The 19,924-nt window shown below is 47.0% G+C and overlaps 1 protein-coding gene across 26 annotated transcripts in view; it reads left to right on the forward strand.

Annotated features, from left to right (window-relative positions):
• Window positions 11,219-19,924, forward strand: part of NFASC (neurofascin) — a 194,171-nt gene continuing 185,465 nt past the window's right edge. For all 26 annotated transcript variants that reach the window (NR_165492.1, XM_011509316.2, NM_001378329.1 and 23 more), the window contains exon 1: window positions 11,219-11,349. Coding sequence is in view for 12 of the 26 variants with exons in the window: in XM_011509316.2 (XP_011507618.2) it covers window positions 11,243-11,349 (107 nt within the window). In the remaining 14 variants the exon portion in view is untranslated. The remainder of the gene's footprint in view (window positions 11,350-19,924) is intronic.

The raw sequence follows: 19,924 nt of genomic DNA on the forward strand, positions 1-19,924 counted from the left end.
CTTAAACGAATGAGGAGCTGCTTCTTATGAATGAGCAAAGAAAATGTTTTGTTTTGTTTTGTGACAGAGTTTTAGCTCTGTCACCCAGGCTGGAGTGCAGTGGCACAATTTCAGCTCACCGCAACCTCTTGCCTCCCGGGTTCAAGCAATTCTCATGCCTCAGCCTCCCAAGTGGCAGGGACCACAGGCACCTGCCACCACAGCTGGCTAATTTTTATATTTTTAACAGAGACAGGGTTTCACCATGTTGGCCAGGCTGGTCTCAAACCCTTGACCTCAAGTGATCTGCCCACCTCGACCTCCCAAAGTGCTGGGATTCCAGGTGTGAGCCATCACGCCTGGTGAAAAGTGGTTTCTTGAGATGAAATCCACTCCTGGTGAAGATGCTGTGAACATTGTTGAAATGACAATAAAGGATTTCGGATATTACATAAACTTAGTTGATAAAGCAGTGGCAGCTTTTGAGAGGACTGACTCCAATTTTGAAAGAAGCTCTACCGTGGGTAAAATGCTATCAAACAGCATTGCACGCTACTTTAGTAAAAGGAAGAGTCAACTGATAAGGCAAACTTCATTGTTATTTTAAGAAATTGCCACGGCCATCCCAACTTTCAGCAACCACCACTCTGATCAGTGAGCAGCCATCAACATGAGGCAACACCCTCCACCAGCAAAAAGATTACGACTCGCTGAAGCCTCTGATGATTGTTAGCATTTTTTAGCAATAAAGTATTTTTAAATTAAGGCATGCACATTGTTTTTAAAGATGTGCTATTGCACACTTGATAGACTACATTATAGTATAAACGTGACTTTTATAGGCAGTGGGAAACTGATAAATTTGTGTGACTTGCTTTATTGAAATATTCCCTTTATTGTGGTGGTGTGGAGCCAAACCTGCAGTATCTCGGAGGTATGCCTGGTAGTTTTTGGTTAAAAGCACAGACTCTGAGGCTGGGCGCAATGGCTCACACCTGGAATCCCAGCACTTTGGGAGACGGAGGCAGATGGATCACTTGAGGTCAGCAGTTAGAGACAAGCCTGGCCAACATGGTGAAACCCTGTCTCTACTAAAACTACAAAAATTAGCTGGGTGTGGTGGCACATGCATGTAATTCAAGCTACTCAGGAGACTGAAGCAGAAGAATTGCTTGAACCCAGGAGGCAGAGGTTGCAGCAAACTGAGATCACACCACCGCACTCCAGCCTGGGCAGCAGAGCAAGACTCCAGCTCAAAAAAAAAAAAAAAAAAAAGTACAGACTTGGAACCATACCACATAGGTTCAAATCCAGCTCTTCAGTTTGCTAGCTAGGAGACCTTGGGTAACATATTTAACCTGTCTTTAGCCTAGGTTTTCTCATCACATTGTAGTAATGATTCAATGTGCTTTATCTGTTATCAAGTTCTTAGAGACATGCATATGGTAATCACTACTTGCGTTAGCTATTATTATTTCAGTATACAAATACATAAAATTACCTTCTAGCTAGATTACAAAACTTTCCCCATTCTACCCATGTTCTCATTAAATCTGAGCCAAAATGATGATCCATGAAGATATTTCATGTTCTAGAACCCTTGTTATAGCACTGATACCCCATGTTGAAGTGCATGGAAATAGAGAAAAGTTGGCCCCAGAGCAATCCCAGCCAAAGGCCCTGTAGCAGGGTGTTTGATGCCAACCGGACCAATGCTAAAACCCTTTTGACTGGTGCCAAAGCCCAGCCCAACCTTGTGTGACTGCAGGTTTCTATCTTACTGCTCCTGAACGCAGGCCTATTTGTCAGCCTTGGTACTGTCTTTGCTCATGTTGAGTTCAATTTGGTGCATATTTACTGAAGAAGGGAATGTGAAAAGCAGGATAAAGGAAGTTGCCAAGCCAGGATGTGTCCATGTAAAGGCACATCATACTTTGGCCTGATTCACAGATACTCTGAGTGTAACTCCTCCGAAGAATAGTCATCCTTGAGGCAAGGGGAAGGGATTTTTGCCCCTTGTAAGTCATCACTGGCAACTGCAACCTCCACGCATCTCAGGGAGAGGCAGGTCCTGAAGTGGGATCAGGGCTTCAGGGAGGGACACAGGTGTGACCCCTTCCCCATTAGCTGCAGCACTCACAGCAGCTGGGGGATGGCAGCACCAGCTCTAAAGTGGATATGGCTGGGTCACTAGCAGTGTCTATGTCTGGTTTCCACTTTTTAAGAACGCATCATGCATCATGAGGTTGCCATGGAAGCTATGACACAGAAATTCTAAGCTGGAAGTGGCAATAACAACAGGGACACAGACATGTGACTGAGTGGCTCCAGGGCAATAATGTGCCGGAACAAGCTTATGCCAGCTCACAGGAGCTGATTGTTAAATTTTCAGGAACTTTGCAAGCCAGCTGTGAGAGACAGCCATCAGGAAACATTAAATTATATAAACTTACAATTAAATAATTACATTAAATGAAAAAGTAGAAATAACTCGAAACCCATCATTTTCTAATGATTTTCCTGTGTTTTACTATTATCTATGATCTTGAGGTTATTTACGTTCATAGTAGCTGTATGGTGGAAATGTAATATAATGGTCTCTCCTTCATCACATTGAGTGACATCATGTTGTCATCTTGAGATTGACCATGGCAGGGGAATTTACATCACAGAAATCAGAAAATGCTATACCTCAGGGGTTTTTTTCTTTCCAGTGAACCAGTTGTTAACTATTTACTAGCGCACCACTGATTCAGATGGACTCATTCTCCCCCTAATATGCACCAACGCACACAATAGCCGAATGCTTATCCATGGAGAGGTTCTTCCTGGGCAAGGATGGATGAGCAGCTTTTGTTTGCTCTTGGAGTTTTTTAAAGCTGAGTCTGAATAAGAAAAGGGGTTTCATTTCTCTCACTCCTACATCTTTGCAGGTAGGATTCACCTGGTCATAGCACTTGGTTCGTATGTAGCAGAGGGAACTTATGGCCCATGAAAATGTCTCAGGTACTTTTAATATTTTCCTTAAATGATGACTGTTCATCAATTTGTTTAAAATGCTCTCTTGTGTCTGAGAGGATATGGCACCACTTATTTCAGTCCCAGCTTCAATGAGGGGGTGAATGATGAGGACTTATTACAAGTCAGAAAGTCCCTAAGGAAATATAAGGAAAATATCATTTACTGCAGCTCCTAACACCTAAGAACTGAAGGAGTGAGTCCACTTGGGGCCCTGAGAAGGAACAAGATTTAATTATTAAGGCTATGTTATTTATAAAGCTTAATAGAGTAATTCTTTGTTGCTAATGAAGTCGTAGAGGACCCTTAAAAGGAAGCCTGCACAATTACATGTAAAACTGTGACAAATCTTGTATTTAGAAGCATACACCATCCCATCTGCCACTGTCAGATCCACTCTCCCAGGTCTACCCAGAGGAGGTGGGAGGCAGGAAGGCCACCCACCTCGGGCCTGGCCTCTCAGGTGTGCAGTTTGCAGACCTGAAATATAAAAGCTTATTTTAAACAGACAACTCCTCCAGCCCACTTCCCAGGGGTTCTGTGCTAATAAATTGGCATTAATAAGATAAACTAATTGGGGGTGGCCAGGCCCACAGGCTGGGTTCTCAGCTGCGACCTCCTGGCTCCATGCCCTACTCCTGCTGATCCTGCCAGCCAGCAGAAATTGTGTTGGGGGTGGAGGCAGGGGCAGGACAGGATAGAAACAGAGGAGTCTGGGGTCTGGGGTCTAGGGTCTAGAGACTGGAGCACAGTACCCCTGACTTGCTACAAAGTGAAGGCGAAGTCTCCTTTCCTTTTCCCCAGCTGGGTGGGTCTGGCCCAGTGCAGGAGACATCCTTAACCATTTGGACTTAACAGTTTCTTTAACAGAATAAAATAATAACCCACAGGAAGTGAAAAAGACCCTCAAGGTACAGGGACCACATTTTCCTGATAGAAAGCTGAGGTACTTCTGGTAGGTAATAGCTTAAAAAAAGAAAACTGAGACACTTTCTGTGACAAAAGATTTTCAGACATTTGCTATGTGCAAGAAGCAGTGTCAGAAAGACAATTTAGAGGCTGAAATGTTGCAATGGATAGGACATTTCCATGGTTTATTGAAAACAACAGAAAGACCATCATAAATCTTACCTTATCCAGAAAAATCAGTGGTTGCCATGATGGAGACCTTCTGTGGTTGCTACGTGAAGACAAATATTTTCTTTGGCTATATTTCAATAGCCAGCATGGTTATTTCTGTCTAATATGTTTATTTCTCCAGGAAATAATTCTAGCCAAGTAATGTCCATTTCAAGAAGGGAAACAGACACTAGTTTTTAGGCTGTGAGGACGTCAAACCTCTTTGTATTTCCCTTCTTCGGTCTGTTCATTCTCTCTATATTTGATGATACCTACGCATAGTCTGTTTACTTCATTTGACCCATATTTACTCATCGAGAGGCCATTCTTTACAATGTGTTTTCAGATGTTCTCATGCCTGTCTTAGACTATAAATGTCTGTGTAATTCTTTGATCAGCAGCTAGCACAGCAGCGGTCACAGTACTGCACACAGAGAGGTCCTTCATTCATACAGGCCCACTCTGAACAGTTGTGCAGGTCACGCACTGCATAACTTCAGCTGGGCCCATCATAATGTAGTCCAGTGCTGTTCAATAGAACTTTCTGCAATTATAGCAATGTTCTTTAATCTGTGTCATTTAATACAGTGGCCGCTAGGCACATGCAGCTCTTGTACACTTATAATGTGGTTAGTGTGACTGAAGAGCTGAATTTTTAATTTTAGTTAAATTTAAATAGTCACATGCGGCTAGTGGCTACTGTCATTGGATAGCACTGTCTATATTCATAGCAGCTCTGCTTTTATTCATACTTTTATTTATCATGCACTCATCCATAGCTTCAGCTATGAGCAGTGTATAGTGCTGGACCCTGTAGATACAATGAGAGGAAGATGGTCCCTGTTCTAGGAAACTTCCAGTTGGAAACGCAGTGCAGTAAGTGCTATGAGGGAAGCCCTTACTGTGTACACTGCTGCACAGATGAGAGGCTGAGTCTGGCAGAGGAAGAGTTTTTTGTTTTGTTTTGTTTTGTTTTTCACACCAGAGATGTTTAAGCTGAGTCTTCAGAAAGGAGTACATCACAAAGACAAAGTGAGTAAGGGCTTTCCGGAAAAGAGATTGTTTTAATATATTTTGTTTTGGGTTTTTTTTTTTTTTTTTTTTTTTAAGGACCAGAATGTCTCACTGTGTTGCCCAGGCTGGAGTGCAGTAGCTATTCACAAAAATGGTCATTGCACAATGAAGCCTCCAATACCTGGGGTCAAGCAATCCTCCCACCTCACCCTCTCAAGTAGCTGGGACTGTAGGCATGCGCCACCGCACCAGGCTTTTAATATGTTTTAACCATTTGATTAAGATGAAATGAATGCCTTTGTGGTTAGCTGGGCACAATCACTCTCAAGACTATTAACACAAATACGTTTGCAAGACAACTGCAAAAGGAAAAGCTCTTTTGATAAAGGTTTTCTAAATTCCAGGGTTCCCACCTGGGGAGGGACCATATTTCCCTGTCTAGGGACAGGATTATGAAGCAACCCACCTAGAAGACCAGTCCTCAAAGTCCTCCAGAAAGACAAGGTTTCATATGTTTATAGAGAGAGTTTGCAGTTGGGCTTTTCTTGCTGGTTGGCTCATTAGAAGTAAGAGAGAGAGAAATAGCTTATTTTACTACTATTGTTAATAAACAGGTATAGGCCTGATATGGTTTGGATCTGTGTTCCCACCCAAATCTCATGTCAAATTGTAATCCTCAATGTTTTAGGTGGGGCCTGGTGGGAGGGGATTAGATCATGAGAGTGGTTTCTCATGGTTTAACATCATCCTCCTTGGTGCTGTCATCGCGATAGTGAGATCTGGTTATTTAAAAGTATGTGGCACCTCCCCTTCACCTCTCTTCCTCCTGCTCTGGCCATGTGAAGATGCCTGCCCTTCTGCCATCAGTAAAATTCCCTGAGGCCTCCCCAGAAGCTGATACTGCCATGCTTCCTATACCACCTGAAGAACCATGAGCCAACTAAACCTCTTTTCTTTGTAAATTACCCAGTCTCAGGTATTTCTTTATAGCAATGACAGAACAGACTAATACAAGGCCTTTCATCATGGTAGAGAAAGACTCCAAAAATCCTACTCTTTCTAATATATTTATGCAGGTGAAATTCAAAGGTAGTCTTTAAAGGTGGAAACATGCTCTGTATAAAAGCAGACGGTGGGGCAGTTCCACCCTTTGCCTCCCTCACTCTTGGAGCAGGGACAGGTCTGATACCCAGGCCTAGAGTCAAGGCTGGTTAATGGCTATTCCAAAGCTTCTCTCTCCTCCTCTCTAACTTCCCCATTCACTGCCCCATCTCTCAAATTCCATTCCAGGAATGGAATTTCACCTACGTACAGTGGAAGACTAATTCTATGTAGCTTGGGGAGGTCTCTGCATCTGGAAGGTAAAAGCTCTAACACATGCACATTTCCAAGTGACTTCATAAACTGAGCTCTATGGCTGGCCCTTGGCAGTGGTGGGCAAGAGGCAACTCCCAAGGAGATTTTTATTTTTTAATTTCAAAGCGGGAAGTAAGAGAGCAGATGGAAAGATGCTCTCCAGCTTGGAGTTGGGCTGAGTGCTTCCTTTCCTTTGGCTACTCCCCAGCATGGGGGGAAGAAAATTCTAGGCACTTGAGAATGTGACAGGTGTTGGGGGGTGATGAGGACCTGCAGACAGCATGGGGTCTCCACATCTGCCACTGCTTTGGATCACCAGCATGTGTGCACTGGCCAAATGGGAGAAGGACCAGAGCCCTGTTCCTGGATCCCTCCCTCCTTCCCTTAATGCTGTGTGCAAATTGGGATGCAACTTTCCCCCTTGGCCTAGGGAGAGACTAGAAGATGCTGAGGGAGAGATGAGATAAGAGATCAAAGAGTCTAGTAGCTTCTTGGGGGACCTATGGGAAATTCCTAGTGGTTTTTCCCATTGGCTTTCACTGCACCTGTCTTCCTGCCCTCCTGCATTATGGGGGGGGCCTATATTCCTGGAACTTTCTAAAATTTGCCCCTCTACATTCCTTCTGAACATGCTACTCTGCTTGCTTTTCTGCATCCTCATCCACCTGCTTTGCTAGAGCTCAGCATGACTATCACTCTGCTCTTGTTCTTCCTCATGATAGTGACACAGGATTGTTCCCTTGACCCCCTTTGTGGGCAGGAACTGGAGTGGCTCATTTCACTCAGCCTGCTGATGGCCACTCCTGGCAGAAGGGAGTGTGTGAGTGAGTGCGGGAACCAGAGTGAACGAATGCTAGAACTAGCCGGTCACTCCTCTCTGGTGGGAGCAAGCTCTGTGTGGGCCCTGCAGCAGCATCCAAGTGTGTTGCAATGGATGCTCTTTCAGCTCTGCTGTCCAGAGATGGCCAAGTGTCAGTCAGCTCAGTGGAAGGTCAGGGTGGCAGCCCCTGCCCTCTCAGCACCCGGGTTCTTGTCCAGTGTCCAGGAAGAATCAGGTCACATGAACTGTTTGAAAGGTGATGAGTGTGGAAGACTTTATTGAGTGGTGGTTGGCTCTCAGTGGAAAGGGAGCCTGGAAAGGGGATGGGAAGGTAATCTTTCTCTGAAGCCTGGCTGTCTCCATCTGGGCCCCTCTCTGAAGCCACACTGCCTGAAATTAGCCATGTCTATCCACAGTCTCTGATGTTCAGTTGCTTCTCTGCTCACTGCTCAGCCACTTGTCTCCTTGCCACTCAGCCACTTGTGTTTCTCTGCCAGCTAAAGTCTTTTATGGGCAAGGGATAGGGGCAGGGCAGGCCAAAAAGGCAACATTTGGGAGGAAAAGTGGGGTCAGCTATATCCACTTAGGGCCACAGTTCCAGGCTTAAGGGTGGGGTTTAGCCGGGAGCCCAGCCCTTTTGTATCAGTGGCAGAGTTTCTGTCCTTTGGCACTTGTTATACAATAGGTCGGCGTAAGGGAGTGTTGTGCAGTGGGAGAGGGTACACCCTGGAGACTCTAAGATCTTTGTCCAACTCCCAATTCCACCACTTACCATCTACAGAGTTAGGAAGCAGTCCCTGAGACCATTCTTACTTCTGACCAATTGCAAGCTCAAGCATTCCCAAGACCCCTCTTAGGTCAGTAATTTATTAGAAGGACTCATAGAACTGAGAGCTCATAGGCTCATAATGGTGGTTTATTACAATAAAAGGATACAGATTAGAATTAGCCAAAAGAAGAGACAGGTCAAGCAGAGTCCAGGAGAGTTGCATGTGCAGAGATCGCAGTTATTCTCTCTTGATGAAGCTGAGGACAGTGCTAAAGTCTCCCAGGAACAATGTGTGACACTGCATGCAAAATATTGCTAATCAGGGAAGTTCTTCCAATCCTTAGTGTCCAGGGATTTTATTGGGGCTCAGTCATGTAGTCATGGCTGACCATCCAAGTGGTTGACCTTAGTTTCTAGCCCCTCTGGAGGTTGAGCCGATGCATGCCCAAAGACCCCACCATCCATCATTGTTAGTATAGACTACCTGGTTTTGCCCAAGACCCCCAGGTAGATAAAGATACTCTTATCAGGTGAGATAACCAAGGACTCAGAGATGACCTCCCAGGAGCCAAGGACAAAAGTCAGATCTCTCTAGGGGCAAAGCTAACACTGTACCACACCCCATCTGTGTGATGCTGTACTCTTATTAACCTCACTGGGCATCTATTTCCTCATCAGTAAATTGGGGACAATGATCCCCACCTCACTGGGGTTTCTGAGGAATGAGTAACATAATATATGCAAAAGGCCTAGTATGTGAAAGGCTTCAACAAAAATTAGGTCCTTCCTAGTAAGCTTAAGGGCCTTTGCTCTTATCTTCTAAACTAGCCCAGGGCATTATTCCCTCTTTCCTCTTCTTCCCACCCTGTCTCCCAATTTGCTTTCCCTTTTCCCCCAGAAAAGGATAATACCTTTATTCCCTGTATGTCATTATTAACTTGCTTTTTAAAAAACAAATGTGTGTGTGTTATCATTGTTATAATTTTTAAAACTGTGCTATTGCATGGATTATTACAATGGATGTAATCATTGTCCTCTTGAGCCGCACTGAGTATCCTTGTGCATACACATCTTTGTGGATTGGGCCAGTGATTCTGCAGGCTGGATTCTTTGAGGTGGCATTGATGGGTCAAGGGTGTCATTAAAGTCTTGATGGTACTGCTGTATTGCTCTCCCAAAAAGGCCATACCAAGTTAAACCTCCACCAATGATGCACGAATCTGCCAGTTTCCCCACACTTCCTAGGGACCAGTGTGGAAGAGGATGGCTTCAAGTGCCCGAGACTCATACCTGGGGCTTTCTCTTGGTCTGAGCCCAGGATGAGGCAGGGCTTATGGAATTTCATTGGGAGGAATGAAACACTAGGGAATGTGAAAATCCTGTGACTTGCCATTCACCATGACAGAGGACACAGTGAGTGAGGTTTCAGGTCTGGGTTGAAAGTCCATGCTTGCTGAGGGTTCCAGCCAGAACTAGAGGTGCAAACCCAGGGAAGAAAAAGAAGCAGGAAGGCCAGATAAATGTCAGGAAAGAAAAAGAGCAACCACTTTCTGCCCTCGGTCCTGAGTGAGTCTGTTCCTGACACAGCAGCAGAACAGCCTGCAAGGTGCGTAGGCTCTTCTTAGTCCCCAGAGTCCATCACCAGCAGGGGGTGCCTCTCCCTCCATCAGGACTTGCCTGCAGCTCTGGGACACCACCGAGGCCAAGGAAACACCTTCACCCTCAGGGCCTCTGGGGGTCACCATGCTCCCTTTAGGCCCACACTTAATTTCTTTATACTAAGGCCATGAAACTTGAGTCCCAGTTCAGTTTCAACCACCAAACCACTGTGTGGGGTCCATCTCTCTAGACCTTCGTGTATTTGCTGTTTAAAAGTAATGAAGAAAGGGGAGGGAAGGCTGAACAATAATTAACATTTGTAAAGAACAGTTTGGTTCAGTACCTTATCTCATTGATGCTCACTCTATGCCCATTTTACAGATGGGAAAAAGAAGACTTAGAGAGGTTAAGTGAACTGCCCAAGTTTACCCTGCTGGTAAGCCAGGACTTTCTTGGCAAATCCTGTGATCCTTCAACTTGACCATATTAGAAGATTCTAGTATTGGTGAAATCTAAAACTTGTAGGGCCCATCTTAAAATAGCAAAGTAGTTTTAACTAGGCACTGTCAGATGCATCTGGGCTTTGAATTATTACTTGGGCAGGTTCCTTGAACTTTGGTGTTCTCATCCAGAATAAAAGACAGTGGTGCCAGGGTAGGAGCTATGAGCACAGAGAAAGTAGCCCTTGAATGGGGCCACAGAGGGATGCTGCAGGGGACTGTAGTTTTGGATGAGGAGCTGAACTAGAAGCTTCCAAGTGCTCTTCCAAGACAAAGATTCTATGATTCCCTAACTGGGATCTTTCCACTGTTTCAGGTGATAATTCTGAGCTCAGATCCTGTGCACAGAACCTAATGCAGTCTTCGTGTCAGAGCTAGAAGAGACCTTGGGCGACCACCCAATCAACTTTTCATGGTTCAGTTGTGGAAACTGATGTCCACAGATAAATGTCTTGCTATCATGTCAGATAGTTCTCCAGCCACGACTGAGGCCTGAGTCCCCCTAGGGCAGAGGAAATCTCCCATTTCTAAAAGAAAGCCCCGCACTGTTCATAGCAGTCACAACCTCTCTCACATCCCTGAATCAGGATCCAACGACTTGCCAATCAACAAATGTTGCTGGAGAGTTTACCACAAACAAGTCTCTGTGCTAGGCCCTGAGAACACAAGCTGTCCGGCAACTTCCTGCTCCCTAAAGTCACAGTCTATGGTGGAGGTGCAAACAAGCGATCCTGTTGGGGCTTCAGGGTACTTCCTCCTGTGTGCTTTGCACGTAGTAGGTGCTCAGCGAACGGAAACGGGGAGACTAGTTATCACTCTCCAGGCAAGCCCGCAAAGAGGCCTCAGGTGAAAAGAGAAAGGAGGATTTTTTTTTCCGGCCCTGGCTCTGCGCACCGCTCCCCAGCGCGCCAGGCGGGGCTGCGTCCGGAGCATCCTTCCCTCCGCCTCTGTCCTGGTCCCCGCTCAGCGGCCGCTAGGAGCGCGAAGGGAGGGGCGCGGGGGCGCGCACGCAGGGTGTCGGGGGCGCGCCGGCCGCCCGGGGACGCGCACGGGCTGGTCTCTGCCCTAATGCGGCGGCTGGCGGCGAGAGGCGCTGCAGGGGACGCGGGGGAAGTGGCGGCGCCGGCAGCGGACAGCTCGGACAGCGCCCAGGGCCGGAGCCCGAGCCCTTGGAGGTAGGCGAGCGCGAACACCGGAGAGATGGGGGTAGAGAGTCATGGAAACCCACCTAGCGACACCCCCTTGTTCCCGCCCTCGTCTGTCTCCATCCCCTGACCTGCCCCCTCCCCCTCCGTCCACATTCCCATCCCTTCCCCTCTCCACACTGTCACCTGCCCCGAATCCATCCGATTCTGTTCGTATGCCCACCCCGTCCCCGTCCAGCTCCCAGCCCCCTGCCCACCCCAACACCCTTTCTATCTCGTTGGCCGCGTCCCCTCCCCCTTCCCGCATCCTCAACCCTTTCCCTTTCCTCTCTGTCCCCGCCTCATCCGTGAGCCCTGCCTGCCCTTGTACTTCTGTTTACCTCGACACCCCACTTTGGATGACCCCATGCCTCCTGTATTTCCTACCGCACACATCAGCCCCTTCTTGCCTCCCCTATTCTCTTCCCCATCTCATGCCCCTACCAGTTGGTGTCCTGTCTCTCCATTTGCTCCCTCAGTTTCTGTCCTCCCCTGGTTCCCCCTTGCACGCCCTGTCCCAGCCCCTTCCCAGCTGCCTCTTGGTGTCCTCCTGCATCACAGTCCCTCTCAAGAACCCCGCCTTCTCCCCCCTTTGGCTGTTAGCTGGCCTGACACCCGTCACCTTCCCTAGCTGCCCTTCCTGGTGCTGTGTGGAGCCATACAGCCTGTACCCAGCCCTCCCTCAGTGGCCTCTGGACCCCCCTTCCCTGGGTGGGGATCTTGGTTGTGGAATATAACCCCTTTCTGCATGTTCGATCCTATTTGTGGCTTGGGGAAGAATGCTGGGGGTTAGTAGGCCTCTCTCTTATGTTCCTCTCCAGCCATGCAGCCACTCTACTCCTCTAGCTGTTCAGGTTTGTTTCCTAGATGGATTGGGGGAGGGGGTGCTAGGCATTGGGAAACTAGGATGGGGAAGGGGCAGGGTCCAGGGGAATGACTGAGCAGACTCCTCCTGGGGCTTGGCCTGAGCCCTGATGTAAAGGCCTGGATGAGGAGCCCTGCTGGAGGGCTGGATAATTTTGGATTTTAGAAAAGATTCTGCTTCAGCCTCCAAGTCAGCACTTTGGCATCTGGAGCTGTCATGAGTGTGGCCCATGGGCTGGGCCAAGAGTGGGCAGAGTGCTGAATCACCTAGAATCTGGTCCCCATGGCAGCCCCCATCCTGTCCTGAGCCAGGTTCTGCTCCTGACTCCTTCCTTGGCATTTTGGCATGGGGTGTGTGTGTGTGTGTGTGTGTGTGTGTGTGTGTGTGTGTTGAGCAGAGATGCCTCATCCCTCAGTGTGGGGGAGAGGACAACAATACCCCTTTTCTGCCTGCCTGTGTCCCTGGCATGAGGGCCTAGTGCGTCTCATCTACCCTTGGAAATGTGCTGGGCCCTGCTGGGCCTCAGTCAAATCTCCAGCAAGGCAAGGGCAAGCCACAGGGCTTTGAGACCTGGTTGGACAGGAGTTTAATTGTTTGTGTGGAGCCAAAGCCAGCCTCAGAGCCCACAGAACTTAAAGCAATAGGAGAATAGCCCAGGGAAAATGTGTGTGAAGAGTGGAAGCCTCTGGGGATAGGGGCCATACCAGCTGTGAGGTGGGGGCAGTGGAGGAAGGCAGGCAGAGATCTATCCTCCTTCTGGTTTGGGGATGATTGGATGTGGTGGAATTGCATTGCAGGAAGAATTGAAGGAGATGGGGGCCTGCTACGCAGCTAATACATTTCACCTTTTGTCTTGACTGAGCTGGCACTTCGGAGGGAGTAATTTCTCCCCTTGTCTTTGGATTCAACTGAAGGGGTGTGTTGTGTGTGTTGTGATGTGTGTGTGTGTTGTGATGTGTGTGTGTGTTGTGATGTGTGTGTGTGTTGTGTGATGTGTGTATAGAGAGAGAGAGAGAGAGAGAATTATGCCAGTAAGGAAAGAGACTCACTCCCACTTAGCCCCAGAAATTGTGGTTGCCACTGTGGAACAGGGAATGGCAGCCCGATTCCTGTCTTAGGGGCTTAGACGAAACCCAGAGGCTTAAATTGAGGCGTTAAGAGCGAATTGCAGACAGACTCTGTCCCTTCTCTGCAAGGCTTTCACTTTAGGAATCCAAGTGACTGGACTCCTTCAGCTCCTGTGCAGTAAACTCTGAATGGGCCTCAGGCAGTGCCTGGCAAGGGGATGTGCTGCTGGGGGCACTGGCTGCACCTTGCTTTGTCACCCTTCTCCGTCGCCTCTCCAGCGTGAGAGGGGGTGGGGCTGGAAGCTTTCCCTGGCATCAGTGCCTAAGGGCTGCCAGCTTTTCCTGGTACAGGGAGAAAGCATTACCTGCAGCCGTTGTTGAGAGCTGATTGGATTAAGGTCCTGATGTTGAAATGCTTGACTGGAGCTCAGGTGAAGTGGGGGATTCTAATAACAGTGTACATATTTCCCAGTTTTGTGCAATGAATTTCACCCCTCACCCCCTTGTTTGGCATCAGAAAGAGTACGGAGAAATAAACCAAGGCACACGGAGGGAGAAGCCAGCTCCCCAGAGAGCTGGAGCAAGACCTTCCAATTGTACCTAGCCAGCTCCCTGTGGGCTGAACTGGCTGCGCTCACAAGGGCTGGTTCTTTTAAGGCACACATTGAAGAGGTGGCTGAGAGCTGGGGGTGGGGTTCTGGCTTTGCATTTCTGGGGTGGGTGGGCCAGAGGAGGGTCTGATTTCTGTGGTGAGTGAGAGACAGGATGCCAAGGCTCTGATCAGTATATTGCAACTTGTTTCCTACCTCTGGCTCCACTCTTCTCCCTCAGGCTTTTTTGGAGGCCAGAGGCACCCTGAGATCTTCAAGACCATGGAGGAGCTGGAGTGTGAGAATCATCCCTTTGTCTTTAGAAAAAGAAATTCTTAGGAAATCAGAGAGGGGGAAGCAGAAAAATTCAGTTCTCAGTCTGTTTGCCTGGGGTGATGTTTGGGGTGGGGAGGGGAGAAGTGAGAGGAACGTAAGGCCGGTTTCATACTTACTCATTTAACAAAGATCCATTAAGCCCTACGGTGTGCTGCTCTGCTAGGTGCTGAGACCATAGAGATGAAAAGTAAGCTAGGGTCCAATCTCTCCGAGCTCCTGGGCAATGGAAGAGGAAGACAGGTGATCAGACAAATAACAGATAAGCTTGAGCAAGAGCATCCGGATAGGGATGTTACACAGCGGGATCTTTAATTCCAGTGGTATCAGCACCCTGCTCTCCACAGCTATGAAGAGGGCTTGGCTGATGCTATCCGGAATGGTAGCTCAGGGCTGACCCTGAAGTTGACTCTCAGGAAAAGGGTAGGGGACAAGATGAGGTTCAAGGTGTTGTCAGATCCCCAGCTTGAAGGGCTAGAGGGGTAATGTTCTGTGTGAACACCTGTGTGAACAAGGTGAACCCGGCTAGATGTGGCTAGAACCTGATAGGGGAATACCCAAAGGGAGCTCTGTGATGAGGTCGAGGCTGCTTAACTCTCCCAATCCCATCTTCTAAGCTCTTGTATTTTAGGGGTAAAGTGTGGCTGGATATGCTTAGAATGTCAGTGAGTCAGAGGAAAGAGGCTCTGGGAGCTACTCGTGTGTAGGCAAGATGCACAGGGATGTGCTGAGAGGCAAGGCGAGGAAAAATATTGTGAGGACTGCAAGGTTCACACACCTGCAAGGTGTGTGAAAGGATTTGGCATTATGGGGAGGTCAGAGTCAGGTGGGAGTCATTGATGGGGAGGGCAAGTTGTTGGTAAGCAGGAGAGGTCCTTAGAAGCTATACACTTGACCACAGATTCCCGCAAATATCCATAGCCGAAGTGGGAAAATAGCCTAAGGAGAGAGACTGTCAGTTTCATCTGTCTGAGTAGCCCCTCTTTTCCCCCACACACCCATTTTTGTTCATTTCATCAATGTATCCTGAGCCTTTGAATCTGTCAGGAGCTGTGCAAGCTATTGGGCATGTAAGTCAAATTGGAGACACAGAAATGAAACCAAATTAAGACTCAGCACAAGAACTGCTATAATTGAGGTTAGATGAATTCCTGGTGTTGTAGGAGCATGGCTGAGGGGTCATAGTGAGCAGTAGGATCTGGAGTGATTGCACCAAACTGTCTGGACAGACCCCTGCCTTGGCTTGAGCAAGTTGATGACAAACCTTTGGGCACTTACAATGCCCAGCTAAGGCCCAGGTCTAGCTGCAAGGGCCCAGGCCTAACTGTAAGGGCAGATGTTGGATGCATATGGCCTGGTCCCTGGACTGCAGAAGAGGGCCTGGGAGTTAATGGCTGTGCGGGGTGCTTGAGTAGGCACTTCCACAGCTTTGCTGACCCAGGACATTGGTTAGATTGTGCCAGCTTGAGAACTCTCAGGCCACCCTTTTTTCATTAGGTCTTGAGGCAAGCCAGAAAAAAATAAAAGTGGCGTAATAACAATAGTCACCATTATCGAGTTCTTTCTATGTGCTAGGCACCCTACTCTATGCTTTATATGCATCATTTCATTTCATCCTCAAAGGGTTAACCCTACAAATGAGATATTGTTAAGTTGCTGGTTTTACAGAAAATGACAGATTCAGAGAAGCTGTTACTTGTTGAAGATTACAGAACAGGTGAGTTGCAGAGCTAGAATCTAAACCTTTATTTGTTTGACTTCAAAGCCTGTGCTCCTCTCCCATATGTCGTACTGAGCCCCACCTCCCACCCCCTCCCCGCCTCCAACCCCAGGTAGAAAAATAAAAAGCTAGGATGTTTTATCCACATGCACAAGGCTTTCTAGGAAAATCTGTTAGAAGGATTCAGTTAGAAGGCATTTTTGAATGCCTTACTTTCTTCTGAAAGATAGAAATGTGGTTCCTGCTTTCAAATAGAAGAAATAAGACTGAGACAGGTAAAACACCTTGAGAACAAGACAATACAGGGTCTAATTAAATCTTCATTGGTGCCTCAGACCTGGGACGGTAAAATTTCAAAGAAAAGCATGATTTGTTAGTTGGATTAGGTTGTTGGAGTCATGGAGGTGACATGGCACAGTAGAAACCATTCAGCCTTTGCAACCAGACAGATCTGCATTCAGACCCTGCTTCTACTACTTGCTAGCTGCATAGCTGCAGCTCATCTGCAAAATGGGGATATTAATATGAACCTTGCAGGGCTGTTACAGAGATTAAATGTGAGAGGATAGTGAAAGGCCCAATGTAATACCTAGCTGGTAGTAAATATTCATCAGATGCTAACTGCTGTACACAGAGGTGTTGGGAATGGAACTGAGCCTCGAAGAATTGGCAGAATTTGGATATGCAAGAGAAGCAGAGGGTATTCTAGATGAAGGAACCATCAGGTGTATAAGCAAAAACTTGGGTTCAGATTCTCTGGGAAAGAAGTGACCTGCCTCATCCTGCCTATTCTCCCCCACCCTCCCCCCACCTTCTCCCTGGTCCATGCCGCAAAGTCTTACAGGAAAAGGACATCATCCTAAAAGGCATGAGGGGCCTTCAACTTCTGGCCCCATTGTTAACTTAAATGGATTTCTTTCTCTGTAAAATTACAGGGTTGCTGCAAGTTCCTGTCCCACAGCCTGTGTTTCTGGGATTTATGTCATTGATTAATTTCTTGTCCTGGCTTTCCTCTCCCACATGCAGTGCCATGAAAAAGTTGGAGTGCCTGGGGCATGGTAGGGTCATGCCCTCACTCCCCTATCATCCCCTCCCGGCTCCTGCTGCTCTCTTCCTCCAGGAAGCAGCTGTCTTAGCATCTGCCTTCTCCTCCTTCACCTGCTCCTCCTCACTCCTCCCCTCCCGGGCTGGCCCAGCCCCTCCTGAAAGGCCTCCCTGGCAGCCCCTCTCCCCGTTATTGTGATGCTAATCATGTTGTTATTTTTTTTTGAGATCCAGAAAGAAGGCCCCAATCTGTTCTAATGAATTTAATTAGAGACGGGCTTGGAGAGCTTCAGAACCTCTTACCGGGATCACAATAAACAGAGTTAACAAGATAAACAGCCTGAGATCAGCCACTCAGGGGTTGGAAAGAAGGATTTCCCGGTCAGTCCTAGAATAAAAAAGTTCTTGGCACCCAGAGTTGGAGGAAGGCTGCGTGAATAGTGGTCCTCCAAGTGGGTTCCCTTCTGGCCTGTTTCTGCCTGCCCCACCCAGCCCCTCGTACTTAGCTTCATACCTAGTTCTGACTCTAGGTGGCAAATGAACCTCCTAAGAAGGTCTAATTATTCTCATCATCATCACCAAGCACCTGCTATTTGGGTCAGCGTTACCACATCATCTTCTGGAGCAATGTGGAGGCTTATGAGACCCTGTCTTCTGCCTTACAGGTGGTAAGAGATATGTGTCCAAATATAAGTAATATTTGCTAATTCCAGAATGTAAGTTCTAGAAAGCTGATGGAAGATCACATTGGGCTTGGGTGATCTGGAAAAGCCTCTTGCAAGAGGAAGTACTTGAGGTGGGTCTTTTTTTTTTTTTTTTTTTTTTTTTGAGATGGAGTCTTGCTCTGTCACCCAGGCTGGAGTGCAGTGGCACGATCTTGACTCACTGCAACCTTGCAACCTCCACCTCCCAGGTCAAGCAATTCTCCTGCCTCAGCCTCCCAAGTAGCTGAGACTACAGGCATCCACCACCACACCCCGCTAATTTTTGTATTTTTTGTAGAGATGGGGGTTTCACCATGTTGGCCAGGCTGGTCTTGAACTCCTGACCTCAAGTGATCCACCCACCTTAGCCTCCCAAAGTGTTGGGATTACAGGCGTGAGCCACTGCGCCCGGCTGGTGGGTCTTGAGATATCAAGACTTGAAGACTTTCTCCAGGACTACTGGAGAAAAATCATGTGCAAAAGCAGGACTATGTAGAGGATCTTTGATTCATGAAGGTAAATGGCATGGTTTGGGTGGTGGGTGCATGTAATTCAGTAGTGAGGGGTGTGTCTGGAGCAGTATATGGAGACAAAAATCATAGAGAACCCTGAGTGCTAGTCTTTACTCTTCTAACCTCGTTGCACTGCTGTCTCCCTGATTTGCTTCTCTGAGCACGTACGATGCCCAGCTCTGGGAAAGGCCTTCTAGGATGGGAGACTTCTGGCCTCCATGCTGAGCTAGCTTTCCTGGATCCAGTTTGGGCCAACTGGAGTGGATTGATCAGATGCTAAGTTTTGTTCTCAGATCTTGTGATTTTCTGGGATGAGAGTGAATGGCTGGCAGAGCAATTCCAAGAACTTTTCCCAGTGATGAAAATTCCCTTTTTCTTTACTGATGCTGGCCAATTTGCTTTGGCAGTAGCATTTTAAACAACCATTTGGTGAAAGCTCCAATTTCAGGGTCAGAGAATTTCATCACTCTTTTCTTTATATTACTAAGAATTCTCTGAGTTGTGTATTGGGATATGTGTGTGCATGTATGTCTGTGTGTGCGTGTGTGTGTGTGTGGTGCCTATGTTAGTAGAATTATTCCAACTAAGTCTGGTTCTAGTTTTATCTTTATTTGCAGGGTAAAAGTCATTAAATATTTCTAGGCCTTTTTTGTTGTTCAAAGGTGGAAGAATCTCCCCTATATCTTACTGTGTGTTGACCATAAGCCAAATTATTTGAGAATAACAGGATGTTAATTATGAGGAGGTATTATAGCTATCTATCATTTTGACAGAAGGTGTAATATTGAGGTAAAATTTTAAGTCTGTCTCCCTGCCACCTAATTCTTGGAACATCTTGACTCGTGAGACCAGCCAGAGTTTTATTTGGGGGCACCACCAATGTTTATGCTTCTTGTTACTTTTCCTAGTCTGTCTGGGCTTGTGTGTAATTAGTAAATGAAGTTAGTACATTGCTGTCAGGTGTTGGCTGACCTATATAAGATAAATTTATATGCAAGACATTGTTGTCACTGCCATTGTTATAATACCTATTGTGTGGTATTTTTCCACATGTTGGAGGTGAATGTCTTTATGGAGGAAAATGCCTCCAAGGCCATAGATGATATTTCTATGCTGACGTAGGTCAGGGCAGAAACTGGATATCTTTCCGATTATCATCACACACTGAGTGGAATTGAAGCCTTTGTCATCCACATTGGGAGCTAAACCAGGATTCTGTGGCTGGCCTCAGCCCTGGGATATGCCCTCGTTTTGTTTTTGTAAGATATTCATTGCATCTGCAGTTATTATTTGAAGACCCTGCTATGTGCATTGCACTCTTCTAGGTGGAAACTTGTTCTGAGAGAAACCTAAACTCAAAAATGTTAGAAATGTTTTAGTTCAAGATAGTTATTTTACTAATCAAGAAATGACTCAGAAGTGTGGCATGACTGACTTGTGACTGCATGGCTGGTTGCTGGCAAAAGCTAGTTCTGGCAAAACCCACATAGGAACCTGGTAATGATACAAGATGATTGATAGGTAATTAAGTTTCTAAAGCATGATCTAAACTAGAAGTGCTTTGGGATGTCAGACAACAGAGGAAATCAGTGTAGATTAAAGTCTTTGGGGAAGGTTCTGAAGAGAAGTGGGGGTTGGCTTGGGCCTCTAGAGATGGGTAGGACCTGAACAGTCAAAGATAAGAAAATGGCATTTCTGGTGGGGAAAGGAGTGCCCACTCAAAGGGCTAGA

The sequence above is a fragment of the Homo sapiens genome, chromosome 1 (assembly GCF_000001405.40).
Source record: "Homo sapiens chromosome 1, GRCh38.p14 Primary Assembly".
NCBI classification, from domain to species: domain Eukaryota; kingdom Metazoa; phylum Chordata; class Mammalia; order Primates; family Hominidae; genus Homo; species Homo sapiens.